At 44.3% G+C, this 19732-nt stretch overlaps 1 protein-coding gene across 1 annotated transcript, besides 3 other annotated features; it reads left to right on the forward strand.

Moving 5' to 3' along the window:
• Positions 4757 to 5346: a silencer, noted in NCBI's record as "silent region_2217". NCBI's record gives its function as "represses an Ori minimal core promoter by ATAC-STARR-seq in GM12878 lymphoblastoid cells {active_cell/tissue: GM12878}" and the evidence as "EXISTENCE:reporter gene assay evidence [ECO:0000049][PMID:35858748]".
• On the forward strand, positions 5028 to 8330 carry OTUD1 (OTU deubiquitinase 1). The gene has a single exon (NM_001145373.3). The coding sequence runs from the start codon at positions 5411 to 5413 to the stop codon at positions 6854 to 6856; it is 1446 nt and encodes a 481-aa protein (NP_001138845.1). The 5' UTR covers positions 5028 to 5410; the 3' UTR covers positions 6857 to 8330.
• Positions 5397 to 5736: a silencer, noted in NCBI's record as "silent region_2218". NCBI's record gives its function as "represses an Ori minimal core promoter by ATAC-STARR-seq in GM12878 lymphoblastoid cells {active_cell/tissue: GM12878}" and the evidence as "EXISTENCE:reporter gene assay evidence [ECO:0000049][PMID:35858748]".
• Positions 5877 to 6246: a silencer, noted in NCBI's record as "silent region_2219". NCBI's record gives its function as "represses an Ori minimal core promoter by ATAC-STARR-seq in GM12878 lymphoblastoid cells {active_cell/tissue: GM12878}" and the evidence as "EXISTENCE:reporter gene assay evidence [ECO:0000049][PMID:35858748]".
• Positions 8331 to 19732: the final 11402 nt, after the last annotated feature.

Genomic DNA, 19732 nt, shown 5'->3' on the forward strand with positions numbered 1-19732 from the left:
ACTCCACACATCACTTCCCAAGATGCTTGCCTTTATTGCTGAGGTACTATTTTTATTTGACAACATTCAGAAAATATTCTGCGCACTTTTCAGAATCTCAGAGAACCACACATAGAACCAACGAAACTAAAAATATGACATATCTGTGTACAATTCCCATATGCTTCATGGAATGCTCAACAAATGTTTACTTTACAAAATGTAAAAGTATTTTTTATATCATGAAGATTACACAAAAAGTTTATAAAAAAATTATAAATTCAAATAGCATTTCTACTAGTCTAGTGCCCTAAATATCCGTTTTATCTGGGCATGAATGATTTGGCTTCAGTAAGCTTCAGCTCACTTATATCATTTAAACAATTACATTTAAGCTATCATATAGAGTACTGTGAATTTGTCAGAAAAAATCTTTAAGATATATAAAATGTTGTCCATGATATATGCAATAATGTCACAAAATAAGTATTGTTGCTGCTGAGACATTTATGGTTAAAATATAATTATCTTTTTATCTCAAGCAATGAGCATAGTACCTGGCTCATGGTAAGGTTTTTAAAAACAGCTTTTATTTAGATATGATTTACATACCATAGAATTCATTCATCCTTCACATGTATAATTCAGTAGTTTTTAGTATATTCACAGAGTTGTGCAACTAGCAACTTTTTGTTTGTTTGTTTGTTTGTTTGTTTTGGAGACAAGGGGTTGCTCTGTCACCTGGGCTGGAAGGCAGTGGCAGGATCATAGCTGACTGCGATCTCAAAGTCTCAAAGTCCTGGGCTCAAGTGGTCCTCCAGCCTCAGCCTCTTGAATAGTTGGGACTACAAGTGCACACTACCACACTCAGCTGATTATTATTATTATTATTATTATTACTGGTAGAGATGGAGTCTTGAATGTTGCCCAGGCTGGTCTCAAACTCCTGGGCTCAAGTGATTCTCCTGCCTCAGCCTCCCAAAGTGCTGGGATTACAAGCATAAACCACCTTGCCCTGCCATAACCCATTTTCTTTTTTCTTTCTTTCTCTCTTTTTTTGTTGAGATAGGGTCTCCTCTGTCACCCAGGCTGGAGTGCAGTGGCACAATCACAGCTCACTGCAGCCTCAAACTCCCAGCATCAGTGGATCCTCCCAACTCAGCCTCCCAAGCATCTGGGATTACAGGTGTGTGCCACAATGCCTGGCTAACTTTTGTATTTTTTGTAGGGATGGGGTTTTGCCATGTTCCCCAGGCTGGTCTCAAACTACTGCACTCAAGTGATCTACCCACCCTGGCCTTCCAAAGTGCTGGGATTATAAGCATGAGCCCCTCGAACAGCCATAAGCTATTTTCAAACCATTTTGATCACTCCAAAAGAAACCCACGCCCTTTGGCAGTCACTCCACATTCCCTCCTCACCTCAGCCTATTCTCTATTCTAGACATTTCATATAACTGGAATTATACAGTATGTGACCTTTTGCATCTGGCTTTCTTCACTTAGCCTGTTTTGAAGATTCATCCATATTGTAGCATGTGTCTTCATTTTGTTCATGGCTGAATAATATTCCATTGTCTGAATGTATCACACTTGGTTTATCCATTCATCATTTGATGGATATGTGGGTAGTTTTTACTCTTTGGATATTATGAATACTACTACTATGAATATTGATATACAAGTTTTTGTATGGAGATATGTTCTTATTTTTCTTGGTTATATACCTAGAAGTGGAATTACTGGATCATATGGTTAACTCTATGTGTAACATTTTGAGGAACTGCTAAGCTGTTTAAAAAGTATCTGCGTCATTTTACAATCTCACAGGCAACGTATGAAGATTTTAACTTCACATTTTCTCCAACACTTGCTACTGTCTGTCTGTCTTTTCTTTTTTTTCCCTTGATACAGGGCCTCATTCTGTCACCCAGGCTAAAGTGCAATTGTGTGGTCATGGCTCTCTGCAACCTCAAACTCTTGAGCTCAAGCAATTATTCCCCCTCAGCCTTCCAGGAAGCTGGGACTACAGGCATGTGCCACCATGCCAGGCTAATTCTTTTATTTTTTATTTTTTGTAGAGACAGGGTCTTGCTATGTTGCCTCGGCTGCTCTTAAACTCCAGGGGTCAAGTGATCCTCCTGCCTCAGCTTCCCAAAGTACTGGGATTATATGCATGAGCCATGGCTCCTAGCCTAGGAATTGTTTTTTCTAGCTTAATTGGATGTATTTAATGTTTATCTAAAGACACAGGATTCAGCTTCTTTGCACAGTTTTTTTTAAAAAATCACATTTATAGTCTTCCCATGTTTTAATATACAGTATATAGCAAAAACGTTACAAGTTATTCTATGCTAAGTTTTGGGATCCTTCTGAGGAGCTTACAGTTGAGGAAGGGAAAACAGTCACGGAAACCATCAGAATAAAAACAACTCACTTCCTGAAAACTTATACTCTTCAATCGTTCTGATCATGTAGCAATTTTCATGCATATTAATTTTAATTACATAATTACATTATAGATAATTATTTGAACTCACGAGAAATCAGATTTGCCTCCCTAATCTCTTTGCTGTCACCTGCAAGGCCTTGTCTTCTCTTAGCTTCCAAGGGCCAAAAACAACATCCAGTTCCAAAGCTGCTATCATTTCTGCTTTGAAGGTTTCCTGAAGTACCACCTCCTCCAGGAAGCCTTTCCACATTGAGATACAGAGTGGACAAGGATTCCTACTGCCAATACACAGTCTTGCATAGTCCACTGCCCCCAGACAAACTAAAAAGATTTTTAAAAATGCATTCATATGTTAATGTTTCAAATCTTCACCTCTTTGTTTTTGTCTGCTGCTAACTTGGTACATCAGAGGTAGTGTGTCTTCTGTGGACCTAGTGTTTTGTTGTTGTTGTTGCTGTTTTCTGCATTTACCCCAACCTGTTAATATCTACTCTTGCTTTAGGGTTTAAATTCTAATATTTTCCTTATCTCCCTTCAGGCTCCAGTTATGCTAGTCCTGCCAGGCACGTGGTGGGTATGGTAAATATTATTTGGTGACGGCCTTGTTAACAGTCTTGTCTTCTGTTTCAGAACACCAGCTAATGAAAGAGTTAAGCGTGAAGTGCTTCATGCACAGAGCAACAGATGCTCAACAAATCAGTGATGAAATCCAAGGATGGTAATTTCCTTTTTCTAATTAGCCATGAGAGCTTCAAGCTCCCAATGGGGTAGTTACCAGAATTTGAAAAGTTAGACAGTCATTTACCTTCTTCTGAGTTAATTTACATAAGCGGCTGGAGTGACCTGAGCTGGGACCCTGCCAGTCATACTGCCCAAAGATAATTAAAAGCCCTGGCTAGGGTCAAGGGACCTGGATAGTAATCTTGGCTTCACCACTGTCTGACAAACCTTGGAAACTCGCTTTCCATCTACTCATTCACTTAGTAAATATTAATTAGGTCCAATTATGTGCCAAGCACGGTGTTAGGGGATGGAAATATAAGAGCAAGACCCAAGTCTCTCAATTCCTGGAATTCACATTCCACCGGAAAGGTGGGGACCGGAGTACAGCCTACATCACCTACAGGTTCAGTCTCCCTATCTCTAAAATGTTAGGACAACCTCTGGGTTCAATTCGAATGTTTAGGCCCTGTTAATTTAGCATTTGATCACAGCTCAGAATATAGCAAAAGTCTCCCACTACCTCTGGCTTTCCCTTACAAAGGCGGGTATTACAAAAAGACTCGGTAGAAGTATTTTCTATAGTCTATCTTGCCCCGGAATGCAGGTCACGACTTTCTCCACCGCTTTTGACCTCTGGCTAGCATTCACACCTATTCTCAAAGGGCCCTAAGTGATACTGCATTTGGTATTCTGAGAAAGCTTGTTTATAAAAGCCTAAAAGGCTTCCTTGCTTTCCCCCAAGCCAGATATTTGCCAAATGGCATAGGTCAGAGGTGCAAAGTTGGTTTTGTCTTAGCAAGGCAAGAGAATCCACTAGCGGACTCACCCTTACCGGTGAGTCCAAGGAAATGCATAGAAAAGACACAGTGGTAAAACTAGCTGGGCACCTGTAATCCCTGCCCAAGGCAAGGCTGAGGAAGGGGGATCACTTGGGCCCTGGAGGTCGAGGTCGCAGTGGGACATGATGGCGCCACTGCACTCAGCCTGGAAGGCAGAGCAAGACCTTGCCTCAAAAAGAAAAAGAAAAAAAAAAAAAGGAAAAGACGCGGCGGTTCCACGAGTGGTGGCTAGGACCCATAATCCCAACACTTTAGGAGGTCGAGGCGGGAAACAGCTTGAGGCCAGTAGTTCGACACCAGACTGGGCAACTGTGGTGAGACCCTCGCCTTAAAAAAAAAGAAAGAAAGAAAGAAAGAAAATTAGCCGGGTGCGGTGGTGCACACCTGTGGTTTCCAGTTACTCTGGAGGTTGAGGCGGGAGGATCGCTTGAGCCCGGGAAGTCAAGGCTGCAGTGAGCTATGGACTGCGCCACTACACTCTAGCTTCGGAGACAGGTAAGACCCCCATCTCTAAAAAGATAAAAGAAAAGAGGCAGTAGTGAATGCAAGCAGGGATGGTAGCCCATGACCAGCAGAGGCCAAACAGACTTTAAGGCAGCATTCCGTTCTCCACACCCATGCCGGAAGCTTTCCTGCCACGCAAGCTTTCCGAGCATGCTAACTCGCCCCAAGCAGCTCCCATCCCGCAGCATCCACTGCAGCCGCTGAGGAGAGTGGCGCAGCGCAGAAACCAGTGCCCAGTGCCCAGGTGGGGGAAGCGGTCCGTGGGAGTCACGTGGGCGGGAGGCCCAGCCAGGATCCCAGGACTGCTCAGGCCTCCGCGCCCCCGGCCTCGCCCCGCCCGCGCGCGCTCGCGCGCCGAGGGCCACGCCCGTGACGTCGGCGGAGCGCGGTAGGGGGCGGGGCGCGGGCCGGAGTGGGCGGGGCGAGCAGGCGCGACTGAATCGGGCGCCGCAAAGAGCCGCGCATTCCAGTGAGTCCACGTGACGCGGCCGCGAGGCCTGAGGTAAACAACCGCGGCCCCGCCTCCCGGGCCTCCGCGCGCACCGCGCTCCTCCTCGCCGGCGGGACGCGCTCCAACGGGGCGGGCGGCTTCCTCCGTGAGTCCCCAGCGGCCGCCGCGGGCCGAAGCAGCTGCAGCGGGCGCGGCGCCCCGGGTCTGCGGGCCGAGCGCACCGGCAGGGGTCGAGCTCGCGTCCCGTCCCCGCCCCCCTGCGCTGTGGCGCAGCAGGAATTTGGCCGGGACCCGGGCGCTATTCGCGGCTGCTGACTCGCGGCGGCCGGCTGCCTTTCGCTCATCTCTATTCTGGGGCCGTTGGGTCACCGCGCTCCGCCGGCCCCCTCCCCCGGGCCCGGAGGGTGTGTCCCCCGCTCCGGGGCTCGCCGCGCCTATAAGGGGCCGAGCGGCGGGCAGGGACATGCAGCTCTACAGCAGCGTCTGCACCCACTACCCCGCCGGGGCCCCGGGTCCCACGGCCGCCGCCCCCGCGCCACCCGCCGCCGCTACCCCCTTCAAGGTCTCGCTGCAGCCCCCGGGAGCCGCCGGCGCCGCGCCCGAGCCCGAGACCGGTGAGTGCCAGCCCGCCGCGGCCGCCGAGCACCGGGAAGCCGCCGCTGTCCCCGCCGCCAAGATGCCCGCCTTCTCCTCCTGCTTCGAGGTGGTGTCCGGGGCCGCCGCGCCCGCCTCCGCCGCCGCCGGCCCGCCCGGCGCGTCCTGCAAGCCGCCGCTGCCGCCGCACTACACGTCCACCGCACAGATCACCGTGCGGGCCCTGGGCGCCGACAGGCTCCTGCTGCACGGGCCCGATCCCGTTCCCGGCGCCGCGGGCTCCGCCGCTGCCCCGCGCGGCCGCTGCCTCCTGCTCGCCCCGGCGCCCGCAGCCCCGGTCCCGCCGCGGCGGGGCTCCTCGGCCTGGCTCCTGGAGGAGCTGCTGCGGCCCGACTGCCCCGAGCCCGCGGGCTTGGACGCGACACGGGAGGGGCCCGATCGGAACTTCCGACTGAGCGAGCACCGCCAGGCCCTGGCCGCCGCCAAGCACCGAGGCCCCGCGGCGACCCCGGGGAGCCCCGATCCCGGCCCCGGTCCGTGGGGCGAAGAGCACTTGGCGGAGAGGGGCCCCAGGGGCTGGGAGAGGGGCGGCGATCGCTGCGACGCGCCCGGTGGGGACGCGGCGCGGAGGCCCGACCCAGAGGCCGAGGCACCCCCCGCCGGGAGCATCGAGGCCGCCCCGAGTAGTGCGGCGGAGCCGGTGATCGTCTCCAGGTCGGATCCCAGAGACGAGAAGCTGGCCCTATACCTGGCCGAGGTGGAGAAGCAGGACAAGTATCTGCGGCAGAGGAATAAGTACCGATTCCACATCATTCCAGACGGCAACTGCCTCTACCGAGCTGTCAGCAAGACGGTGTATGGGGACCAGAGCCTGCACCGGGAGTTGAGGGAGCAGACGGTGCACTACATCGCCGACCATCTCGACCACTTCAGCCCCCTGATTGAGGGCGACGTGGGGGAGTTTATCATCGCTGCTGCCCAAGACGGGGCATGGGCCGGGTACCCGGAGTTGCTGGCCATGGGGCAGATGCTGAATGTGAATATCCATTTAACTACTGGAGGGAGGCTGGAGAGTCCCACGGTGTCTACCATGATTCATTATTTGGGCCCAGAGGATTCCCTGAGGCCTAGTATTTGGCTCAGTTGGCTCAGTAACGGACACTATGATGCTGTATTTGATCACTCCTATCCTAACCCAGAGTACGACAACTGGTGCAAACAAACTCAAGTGCAAAGGAAACGCGACGAAGAACTTGCCAAATCTATGGCCATATCCTTGTCTAAAATGTATATTGAACAAAATGCATGCTCTTGAAATGTCTCAAAACCTTACACCCTGGGAATAATTGCATATATAACTTGTGTTTGGAGAATCACATGAACTTTAATCAGGGTAATAGCACTTTCAAACTTGCTAGTAGATTTTACTGTAGGTGTAATGCCTTAATCATCTTTTTGAATGTTTTCTCAGAGCTGGAGGTTGCTGGGCACCTAAATGATGTTTCATGATAGCTTTGGGTGATTTTACTGCTATTTATAATTTGCTGTATAAAGTGAGCATTACTTAATTTGCAAGCTGATTTCTCACAGTGTAAATTTGTTCATTCCTGGTAGTCTATTTTCTATAAAAATGTATTTTTGCACAACATTTTTAAAAACTGGTGTACCTTCATCTATGACGTGTTCCATTTTGACAAACAGCTTTCAGGCGTAAATCCAGAGAAGTGCTTTATATGAAATGTATTATTTTGAACAGAGTTTGTGATTTGGTAGTTATTTTATGTTGTTGAAATTTGAATTTCACAATTCTTAGATAATTATTTCAAATGGATATTGATGCATTCTTGTTACCAGATGTTTGGCCCATTCCATTTTGATGAAACAGAGCTGTTGTTTTGGAAGTCATTATTTTTCTAGAAATGGCGAATCTTTTAAAGAAAATTACTTAATGGAAGGTTGTGGGAAGGTGTTTTTTTGTGTTTTTTTTTTGGTTTTTGTTTTGTTTTTCCTCTTTTAAGGGATAGTAGCAGGTCTTACTTGAATGAAAGTCTGATATTTGCTGATGGCAGAATGATTATTCTGTACCCTGGTTGATGTGTAGAGTAGATTGTCTGGTGCTCTCAGTTGTTTTTATTTACATTTGTCACGTTGTTGTAAGAGAATGTTAACATGGTATAAAACTCTGTGACAAGATAAGCCTCCTGCTTTATATAACTTCTTGAATCCAGCTAAGAGATTTATAAACTAATGGCATAAATGTCTGGAGCCAACCTTGGCAGTTATAGCAGGAGAACACTGTCTTAATATTTCTTTACATTCTTTCAAAAGGCAAAATAGGATTGCCCTGTATTGATGTAGAAATGTCTGTAAACAGAGCTTGTATGGTTTGCTGGGTCAAACAATGTTTCCAACTTAAAATCAATCTCATTGCCACTTTAACTACTTTTAGTCATATTTATTAAGTAATGCAGTTTGTACTTTTTTTATTTTGTAACATTTTGTGATTTTTTTGTACAAAACTGTATTTGTACAATAGAGCAATTCCCAGCTGATGGAATGAATGAATAAAATGCAAAATTATACTTTTACAATGCCTTTTTGGATAGAGTGGTTTTTAAATTGTGATGTTTGTAGGAAACTTTCTTGCATGTATGCATGTACACAATTTTTTTTTTCCATAAAGATGCCACAGCAATAGAGAGGTTTCCTAAATTATCACATGAAGAGGATAGGCTAATCATGAGTAATTTCAAAGGATAAGTCTGAATAAAATATAATTTAAAAGTGGAGTAATCCAAGAAATTGCTCTCATTATTTCTAATTATAATTTCTGTCTACAGTTATAGCTGTACCTATTGGCTAATGAAAAAGGAAGTGCAAGTTTTGTGTCAGCCAGCAGAATGTCTAATTAAATGTCATACTTTTGTATTCCACTCACTCTCAGTATAGAGTTTAACGTTTTAGAGAGTAACCAAAGAGATGCCCTAATTTTTGTCTAGTCTGGCCTCTTGAGACCACGGGAATCTGTTTTAAGATGTTGAAAAGTGCATGCTATAGTTTGAATATATGTGTCCCACCACCCCAAATTCATGTGTTCGTCCCCATTATGGTGGTATTAAGAGGTTGGGCTTTTGGGGAAGTGATTTAAGGCATGAGCGCTCTGTCTTCATGAATGAATTAGTTGCCTTTTATAAAAAGGTCTGGAAGCAACTAGCTTAGGCCCATTTTGCTGTTCTGTTGTTCTGCCACAGGAGGACACCTAGATGGTGTCATCTGTGAGGAAGGGGCCTCCGCCTGATGTGGAACCTGCGAGCACCTTGATCTTGGGCTTCCCAGCCAACAGACTGTGAGAAATACAAATTTCTGTTCTTTATAAATTATAGGTATTTTGTTGCAGTAGCACAAATGGACTAAGTTGGTGCACCTGTGTGCATAATGTTGGGGTATGTGTAATGCATAAGAAAAGCAGCTATTTTGGATATTTTACTTTTCAGTTATTTAGACATCACAGTCATAGACACAACTGAACTTGATTGAGTTCATTGGTTAACCACATTCTTGGAAGGATGCCGTTGAATATCAAGGAAAGAATTTGTCAACGGTTTAAATGTTTACTAATCACAGATCTCTGGATTTTTGTGTAGGTAAGTTTTGCTTCATGGCTTCAGTAAGTAATTTGGGAAGAAAGAAATTCTATTATTTGAATTACCTGGCTACCCCTTTTCTCCACTTTATTTAGAGCTGTATAACATTTGGAGATGCTTAAAATTTTATACAAGTATGAGTAGAACACACAAGAATTCCTAAAAAGCCTTCTGTAAGCCTATTACTGTTTTAGGTAGCTTACTCTGTGTTCTGTTTCATTTTCAAATTAGGATTCCAAGTCCTGATTTCTTTTCTTTTTTCTTACGTTTTTATTGAGACAGGGTCTCCCTCTGTCACCTAGGCTAGAGTGCAATGGCACAGTCATGGCTCACTGCAGCCTCAACCTCAGAGCTCAAGTGATTCTCCCGAATACCTCAGCCTCCTAAGTAACTGGGGCTACAACGGTCGTCCAGCATCACACCCAGCTAATTTTTAAAAAAATTTTTTAGTAGAGATGTAGTCTCACTATGTTGCCTAGGCTGGTCTTAAATTCCTGAGCTTAAGTGATCCTCCTGCCTCAGCCTCCCAAGGTGGTGGGATTACAGGCATAAGTCACCCTGCCCAGTCCTGTTTTTAAATTTAATTTTAACATTTTGTTTATTATTTTTGAGACAGGGTGTTGTCGTGTCCCCCAGGCTGGAGTGCAGTGGCACAATCATGGCTTACTGCAGCCTCTACCTCCTGGGCTCAAGTTAGCCTCTCACCTTGGCTGCTGAGTAGCTGGGACTATAAGCATGTACCACCATGCTCAGCTAATTTTTTATTATTCATAGAGGTCGGTGGGGCGGGGGTTCGCCCTGTGTTGCCCAGGCTGGTCTTGAACTCCTGGCCTCAGGCAATCCTCCCACCTCAGCCTCCCAAAGTGCTGGGATTACAGGTGTGAATCACACACTCAGCCTTGAAAAAGAAAATCTGGAGATAATTTCATTACTTTGTTCAAGTTTATCTTATGTGCTTTTCCTAAAAAAAAAGTTATACAATTTTTTTCCAAGTTTTGCATTTTGAGAATCATTAGCACTTTACCATGACATTTAGTGCTCATGTGGAAGAAAGGCATTAGGGAAGAAAAATAGATTGTAATCCTTTGGACGTTTGATAATTTGATATGTAGGTAAATGTACTGGATAAATTCAAGTATGTAGCATGTTCACATTAAATAGTTATTTGTTACATCCTAAGTTCAGATGTCATTTTTTTGTACATCCCTAGAATGTCTATCTCAAAGAGGCACTGAGAAACTAGATGACATTTAATTCAGTTTGATTTCCCAAATTTACTAAGCTCAATAGGCACATTCCCTGTTGAATCCCTGGGTTCAAACCCAAGTACCTAGCAGAGCGAGTGCTCAGTAAATTGCTTTTTTCTTTTTTTTTTTTTAGACAGAGTCTTGCTTTGTCGCCCAACCTGGAGTGCAATTGTGTGGTCTTGGCTCAGTGCAACCTCCACCTCCCGGGTTCAAGCAGTTCTCCTGCCTCAGCCTCCCGAGTAGCTGGGATTACAGGTGCCTGCCACCATGCCCAAGTAATTTTTTGTATTTTTATTTATTATTTATTTATTTATTTATTTGAGATGGAGTCTCGCTCTCACCCAGGCTGGAGTGCAGTGGCATGATCTTGGCTCACTGCAACCTCCGCCTCCCGAGTTCAAGTGATTCTCCTGCCTCAGCCTCCTGAATAGCTGAGACTACACGTGCGTGCCACCACGCCCAGCTAATTTTTTTTTTGTATTTTTAGTACAGATGGGGTTTCACCATGTCAGTCAGGATGGTCTCGATACCCTGACCTCGTGATCCGCCTGCCTTGGCCTCCCAAAGTGCTGGGATTACAGACGTGAGCCACTGTGACTGGCCTTGTATTTTTAATATTAGAGACGAGGTTTTGCCATGTTGTTCAGGCTGGTCTCCAACTCCTGACCTTGAGTGATCCACCCACCTCGGCCTCCCAAAGTGCTGGGATTGCAGGCATGAGTCGCTACACCCCGCCAAATTTTTGAATGAAGGAATTAATTGAAGGGAAATGGAGCTTTGGAAAATATTTAGTTGGAGAATGTGAAATTAAATGAAAATAACTTGACTCTAAAGGTACTGGGAATTATTAATGACAAAGTAATTATGCGCGTTTTAAACTCAAATAATAGAAAAAGATATTGCAGTATTGAATTCTGTAACTGACAAAATGGTTTTTGAAACCAAAAATGAGAATTCATTGATTTTATCTTTCTGTCATCTTCCAAACATCTTGAGAAACCAGGTCAACTGTAATTATTTAAAAATAGAACTTCACTAATCTGCTGTGATCTTGAAGGTGTTGCCTTCTCCAAAATGACTTGCTCTGTTTTGCTTTGGGGGTCACTGCCATCCCACATCCAGTCTCTAGCAATTCCTAGTGTGACTGTTTTCTCTGTAGCCTGGTTGAGAAGGAAATGTTGAACAGATTTCAAGCATGAGTTACGACTGCTGTGTTCAATAATACTGGCTGCAAGCTTATGTCATTGGTCAGTGGGACCAAGGCAAGTAGTGTAAATCAGATCAGAACAGCTGTTGGAAAAAAATGTATTTCTTCCTGTTGTAAATTAGATCAATGACAATGATTCTATGAGTAAAGGTCAGGGAGAGTTCACTGTCATCAGTTAACTTACAGTAAAACCTTATCTAGCCTTGTTTCTCACAATTGAATTTTCTAAATAATTGAACAGTTCCTTTTTGTGTAAAATATGAAACAAAAGGCCGGGCGCGGTGGCTCACGCCTGTAATCCCAGCACTTTGGGAGGCCGAGGTGGCGGATCACAAGGTCAGGAGATCAAGACCAGCTGGCTAACATTGGTGAAACCCCATCTCTAATAAAAATAGAAAAATTATCTGGGCGTGGTGGCGGGTGCCTGTAGTCCCAGCTACTATAGGGGCTGAGGCAGGAGAATCGCTTGAACCCGGGAGGTTGAGGTTGCAGTGAGCTGAGATCACACCGTTGCACTCCAGCCTGGGCAACAAGAGTGAAACTCCGTCTCAAAAAAAAAAAAAAAAAGTAATTTATGGTGTACTAATTTTTCTTTATAAAATAACTGAATATGAGGCTGGGCACAGTGGCTCACGCCTGTAATCCCAGCACTTTGGGAGGCCAAGGTGGGCAGATCACAAGGTCAGGAGTTTGAGACCAGCCTGGCCAATATGGGGAAACCCTGCCTCTACTAAAAAATACAAAAATTAGCTGGGCGTGGTGGCTCACACCTGTAGTCCCAGCTACTCGGGAGGCTGAGGCAGGAGAATCGCTGGAACCCGGGGGGCGGAGGTTGCAGTGAGCTGAGATAGCGCAACTGCACTCCAGTCTGGGCAACGGGGCGAGACTCCGTCTCAAAAAAAAAACAAAAAAACTAAATATGGTTTAATCATTTAGTGCTTTAGTGCTTGCAGATGGCTGAAATGTGACAGTTCATTTGTACTTAAAGGGATCTCAGAGTGCTAGGACTTTTTTTTTTTTTAATTTGTTTCAAGATGGGATCTCACTCTGTTGCCCAGGCTGGAGTGCAGTGGCATGATCATGGCTCACTGCAGCCTTGAATTCCCGGGCTCAAGCGATCCTTCCATCTCAACATCCTGAGTAGCTGGAACCACAGGTGCATGCCACCATCCCACACCTCTCCCTCGCTAATTTTTTTATTATTATTTTTGGTAGAGATGGGGTCTCAAACTCCTGAGCTCAAGTGATCCTCACCCTTCAGCCTCCCAGAGTGCTTGGTTTACTGGCCTGAGCCACCACGCCCAGCTAGTGCTGGGAATTTTATCTTTGTGATTATACTTTTCCTGTCTACTTCCTCGCATTATAAAAGCTCTTACCATTGTCACTTTCCAACCTCAATTCCCACTATGATTTTCTATGTTCAGTTAGAGACACTAATCAATGTGCTTGTCAGAATTGACTCTAAAATCATAAGAAATGGTTTTCTCTTTTTTAAATAACACAACCTGTCATACTAGAAATGAGTTTCTAATTCAGAACTGTGATGCTCTGCTGTAAGTAATGTGTTTAAGCTTTAGTTTTTGGTCAACCAGAGTGCTTTTTTGCTGCTTGCCTTGTCTTCTTTTTTCATTGTTTAGTGGTATCCTGGATTTGTCTGATTAAGGGATCTCTGAGTGTGTGCAGTGACATATTCAGAAAACAAATGGGTTGGCTATATTAAATCTCAAAATTGGAGCTGATTTGTCATGGCCTAGTTAATATTTTGTTTCCTCCCTACCATATATAATCCTTCATAGTGTGTCCCTGCTGTTGTCTTTCTTCTATTTATACCTTTTTTTTTTTATTTATTGTATTTTTTTTTTTAGGGCTAGGATCTTGACCTGTCACCCAGGCTGGAGTGCGGTGGCGTGATCATAGCTCACTGCAGCCGTAAACTCCTGGGCTTAAGCAATCGTCCTGCTTCAGCCTCTTGAGTAGCTAGCATTATGTTGCCCATGCTGGTCTTGAATTCCTGGGCTCAAGCAATCTTCCTATCTGGGCCTCCTGAGTTGCTGGGATTAGGCATGAGCCACTGTTCCCAGCCTGTTTATAAATTTTTAATTATGTCCTTTTTGAGATAGGGTCTTGCTCTTTGTCACCCAGGATGGAGTGCAGTGGTGCAGTCACAGTTCATTGCAGCCTCGACCTCCTGGGATCAAGCAATTCTCCTACCTCAGCCTCTGGAGTAGCTGGGACCACAGGTGTGGGCCACCACATCTGGCTAATTTTTTTTTTCTTTTGTAGAGATGGGGTCTCACTATGTTGTCCTGGCTGGTTTTGAACTCCTGGCCTCAAGCAGTCCACCCACCTTGACTTCCCAAAGTGCTGGGATTACAGGCATGAGCCACCATGGCTGATATATATATGTTTAAATATAGAGACAGGGTCTCACTGTGTTGCCCAGGCTGGTCTTTAACTCTTGGCCTCAAGCAATCCTCCCACCTCAGCCTACCAAGTCACTGGAATGACAGGTGTGAGCTACCACACCTAGTTTGTTTATACATTTTTTATTAGTTTTCTGGTCCACAAAGCTGCGGTAATTACAAGGGAATTCAAATATTAGGTCCTCATGCAGACTCCAAATCAAAGTGTGCACAGATGCGTCCGGTACAGATATGACAGTTATCTTTGAATTTTCTCTCCCTAATTCTTCTTTAATGTGTGTATATTACATCTACATAGGTAAGAAAGTTAGTCTTCCTCCTGAACTTCCTTTTTCATTAGAGTAAAATATTTTTTCTCATATTGATTAGTGTTTAATAGAGTCAGTAAATACCCTTGCATTAATATGCTGACAAGTAGATTTTGACAATTTGAAAAAAGCAAAGGATGAATTAATTCCTGTGGGGTCTATGAATTTTATATTTTAAAGCAGTTAAAGTAGGGGAAAAAACCTACACACACAGGACATTTTATACTTGAAACTGGAATTATTTTAGCAAGTGAGGATGCCAAGTAGAATGTCAGTGTATAGAGATTTAGCCTTAATGATATATGCTTGAAGTAATGATTGAGTCTAAACAAATGTTCCACCTAGATTAGAGGTTGTCTGTTTGAATAATTTTAGGGATGGACAAAGTAGTTGTATTTCTTAGCTTATAGGTACAAAAAGCTGGTGTGCAAAATAGGTACTTGTGAAGGGAATTTATACCAATGTGTCATGTGACACTTCTGCAGTCAATTTGTAAGATAAATTCAAATAAGGCTTTCAGTTCTGATGACAAACAGGAAACATTCACGCTTTTTGTTTCTCACAGTGAAATACAAGCTACACTAGTGATGTAATAGGAACGAAAGAAGAAGGAAATGCCACAGTTAAGTGGACAACTGCAGTCAGGAAATTCTTAGCTGTTACTTTGCTACCTTTGCCATCTTGCTGAAAAGCACTGACTAGACCTAAAGGGAATAAACAGTTAATGCTTTTGCTGTTTACTAAATCTAAACAATGCTCATGTCTCCATAAACAGTAGGTACCGAAACCTCAGTAACTGCTTACACAGAATTCTAGGCCAAAGAAGAGACAGATTTAAGATGTATGTTAAACTTGTCAATATAAACTTGTCAATATAAAGTCATTCTCTGACTGATTTTTCATTACCAGTTCCTTCCTTCCTTCCTTCCTTCCTTCCTTCCTTCCTTCCTTCCTTCCTTCCTTCCTTTCTCTTTCTCTCTCTCTCTTTCTCTTTCTTTCTTTCTTGTTTTCTTTTTCTTTTTTGATGTAGTCTTGCTCTGTCGCCCAGGCTGGAGTGCAGTGATGCAATTTCGGCTCACTGAAACCTTTGCCTCCTGGGTTCAAGCGATTCTTCTGCCTCAACTTCCCAAGTAGTTGGGATTACAAGCGTCTGCCAACACACCTGGCTAATTTGCGTGTGTTTGTGTGTGTTTGTGTGTGCGTGTGTTTTTAGTAGAGATAAGCTTTCATCATGTTGGCCAGGCTGGTCTCGAACACCTGACCTCGGGTGATCTGCCTAACTCAGCCTTCCAAAGTTGGGATTCCAGGTGTGAGCCACCCCACCTGGTCCCTGTTCATTTTCTTGATCGTGACTGTAGGCAGAAGCTAGTACTGCTCAGAGTGTGATTTGCCGCGATGGCTCTACTGATTTGGAAGGCAACGTGACCTTGCAAGCATAGACAGTACAGTTGTGTTAGGCCAAGCTGCTATAACAAAAAGTTTCTTTCTTTCTCACTTAACTCTTCCAAGGGGAGCAGTGCAGTCAGAAGGGCAGCTCTGCCCCCCAGGGACTGTCACCTTCTGCACAATGACAGTCTGTAGTCATGTCTGGTCTGATGAGAGGGAGCAGAGTGCACATGCTGAGGTGGCGTCTGTCACTTCTGCTCTCTCCAGAACATGTCACGTGCAGCACATCCAACTGGAAAATACCATCCAGACAGTTCCCAAGAAGAGGGAAAAATGGAGTTTGGCATAAAAATCACAGTCTTCTTTAACTTCATTTATTAGAAATGGTTTAGATCTTGCTCCTGCAAAGTAAAAATGAAAAAAAAAATTACTAAAATAAAAAACAAAAAAGAAATGGTTTACATAATACACACACACATACACACACACACACAGATGTTTAAAATAAAACATCTGCATATATTTTTAGAAACAGGATCTCGATATGTCACCCAGGCTGGAGTGCAGTGGCACAATCATGGCTCAACCGCCTGAACTTCCTAGCTCAAATGTTCCTCCCACCTTAGCCTCCTGAGCAGCTGGGACTACAGGCACATACCACCACATCTGGCTAATTGTCTTTCTTTTTTTTTGAGATGGAGTCTCGCTCTGTCACCCAGGCTGGAGTGCAGTGGTGAGGTCTTGGCTCATTGCAACCTCTGCCTCCCAGGTTCAAGTGATTCTCTTGACTCAGTCTCCCAAGTAGCTGGGATTACAGGCGCCTGCCACTATGCCTGGCTACATCTGGCTACTTAAAATTTTTCTTTTTAATTTTTGTAGAGATGGGGTTTTACTATGTTTCCCAGGGTGGTCTCGAACTCCTGGCCTCAAGCAATCCTCCTGCCTTGGCCTCCCGAAGTGCTAGGATTGCAGGTATGAGCCACTGCACCTGGCTGTAAAATATCTTTAAGAAGAAAAATATATCATAATATTGAAGTATCTGGGAATAAAGTGAATAAAATACACATTAACTCGTTTCCCATGACAAAGATATAAAAAGATACAAAAGTAGAATTAACTGTTGCAATAATTTAGGATTCCGGTCCCCATCAGCTTCTCAACAGGTGTACACAGCTGCTGAACCTTCTATATTTTGATAAGGCTGCTATTTTTCTATTTCCTTTCCTTTTTTTTGAGACAGAGTCTTGCTCTGTCGCCCTGGCTGGAGTGCAGTGACGTGATCTCGGCTTGAACCTCTGCCTCTTGGGTTCAAGCGATTCTCCTGCCTCAGCTTCCCGTATAAGTAGAACTACAGGTGCATGCCACCACACCTGGCTGATTTTTTGTGTTTTAGTAGAGAGGAGGTTTCACCGTGTTAGCCAGGATGGTCTCGATCTCCTGACCTCAGGTGATCCACCCGCCTCGGCCTCCCAAAGTGCTGGGATTACAGGAGTGAGCCACCGCACCTGGCCATTCCTTTTCATTCTTCTTTTTTTTTTTTTTTTTTTTTTGAGGTGGAGTTTCACTCTTGTCACCCAGGCTGGAGTGCAATGGTGCTATCTTGGCTCACTGCAACCTCTGCCTCCTGGGTTCAGGTGATTCTCCTGCCTCAGCCTCCCAAGTAGCTAGGATTACAGGCACATGCCACCATGCCCAGCTAATTTTTGTATTTTTAGTAGAGGAGACAGGGTTTCACCATGTTGGCCAAGATGTTCTTGATTTCTGCCTCGTGATCCACCCGCCTGGGCGCCCAAAACTGCTGGGATTACAGGCGTGAGCCACCGCGCCTTGCCTCCTTTCCATTCTTACTTGTTCTTTAGTATATCAGAAACATCTCGAAAGTCTGGCCTTTAACACAAACCCTGGTTTTCTTCGGAAAGAACAATACGTAAAAACTTTTCCTTTTTAGGTTTCACAGATTTCGCTTCTTTAGGCTCTTGCTGGTCTTCTTCCTCTTTCTCTATTTTTAAATTTCCTTCTTTTCCGCTGCCCTTCTTGTTTTTCTTTTAGAATAATTGTATGTCATCTGCTCTGCTTAAAATTAGATGTTCCTCTCTAATATTTACTAATTCACCCATTTTACTTTACTAACTTACTAAGTCTTTAAAAGTAAATGACTAAGCCTCACCCCAATTCTTGAAAAAGGAAAGGAAAAAACAAACAAACAAACAAACAAAAAAGCCCAGCCCATTATAGTGGACTAGAAGCTCCATATAAGGCTTATAGTTGGGATTTAAGGATGAGGCCAATCCTCTGAAATTAAAGAATCATCATAAATGGGTCAGAGCAGGGAAGGGTAAAGATAGCCCACCCCAAGAAAGGGCCACTAACATCCTTGTTGAGGAGAAGGGGACTTCCTAGTGTAGTCAGAGGAGCTATACTGCAAGCACAACCTTCGTAGGAGTTAATCAGAGTAATTAATGTGAAGAAAGTTGTAACTCATCCAAACAGTATACTATTGCAGCAATGCACTGGCAGAAGAAACGGGCAGTGAGTGGTCTGCATGAAGCCTAGAACCAAGAGAGCCAAGGAAGAATATCTCGGTCACTGCGACTCTCATTTTATCTAGATGGGAAGGTACCCTGGGCTAGCCACACCAATGTGCTGAATAGTTAAGAACAATATAAGGAAATGCTTTTTGGAAGTAGGAAGTAAATATTCATTCAACAAATATTGACTGCCTGGAGGATAGTAGGCACTATGCTAAGCCCTATGTAACTCTCAAGCTATGTGGTATTAGATGCTTAGTAATTGGAGGCTATAATGATCATATCTTGCTCCCAAATTATTTTACTCATGAGAGAGGTCTTTGTAGTCAAGCTGGTTGGGATTCAAATTGTGGCTAAAGCACTTAGTACAAGGATACTTGTTTCATTTTGTTTTGTTTTTGTGATGGAGTCTTGCTCTGTTGCCCAGGCTGGAGTGCAGTGGTATGATCTTGGCTCACTGCAACCTCCCCCACCCAGGCTCAAGCAATTGACCTGCCTCAGCTTCCGGAGTAGCTGGGACTACAGGCATCCGCCACCACGCCCAGCTAATTTTTTTTTTGTATTTTTAATGGAGCCAGGTTTTCACCATGTTGCCCAGGCTGGTTTCAAACTCCTGACCTCATGTGATCTGCCTGCCTCGGCCTCCCCAAATGCTAGGATTACAGGCATGAGCCAACGTGCCCGGCCCATACTTGTATTAGGTATACACTGTACGAGTACATGTAAGTTAGGTAAGTATGGACTTATCTAACTTAGGTAAGTTAGTTAATATCTTTAACCCAGCTTCATCATTTGAATAATGGAAATAGTTATTGAAACTCCATTTCAGAGGGTGATTATAAAGATTGTATTAGAGATAACATTATAATGAATACATGTCAAGCGTAGAGTTAGCATTCAGTAAATGTCAGCTACTTCTATAATTATTATCTTTAGAATTACAAGACTAATTTATATGCTTTTAACCTGGTTTATAGCTTTGCCTTCAGGTTAATCCTGAGCTTCTGTTTTATGGTTATTCTAATTTCAGATTACTTTTAATATTGATTGTTAGACTGGTGTTAAATCAAACTAAATTTCGGCTTTAGAGGCCTCCATACCAGTTCTGTATAACAAACTGCAGTCTAACTCAGTATGTAAACAAATCGAAAGCCTAATTTATAAGTATGGTTTTGTAACAAATAGCTGAGTCTCAGCCAATCAGAGCAGCCGAGCTTCAGCCAATCGTAGGTGGTTAACTGTTTAAACCAGGTTCAAATAAGGCTGCACTGAGTTGCAACCAATGGAGCTGTTTCTGTACCTCATTTCCTTTTCTCTGTGCATTAATGTTGTTTGACTACTTGTTGGTTGTAATGACAGAGTCTTTCTGAACATGTTCTGATTTTGGGGCCTGCCCCCTTCATGAATCATTCTTTGCTCAGTTAAGCTCTGTTGATTTAATTTGTCTC

The sequence above is a fragment of the Homo sapiens genome, chromosome 10 (assembly GCF_000001405.40).
Source record: "Homo sapiens chromosome 10, GRCh38.p14 Primary Assembly".
Classification (NCBI taxonomy): domain Eukaryota; kingdom Metazoa; phylum Chordata; class Mammalia; order Primates; family Hominidae; genus Homo; species Homo sapiens.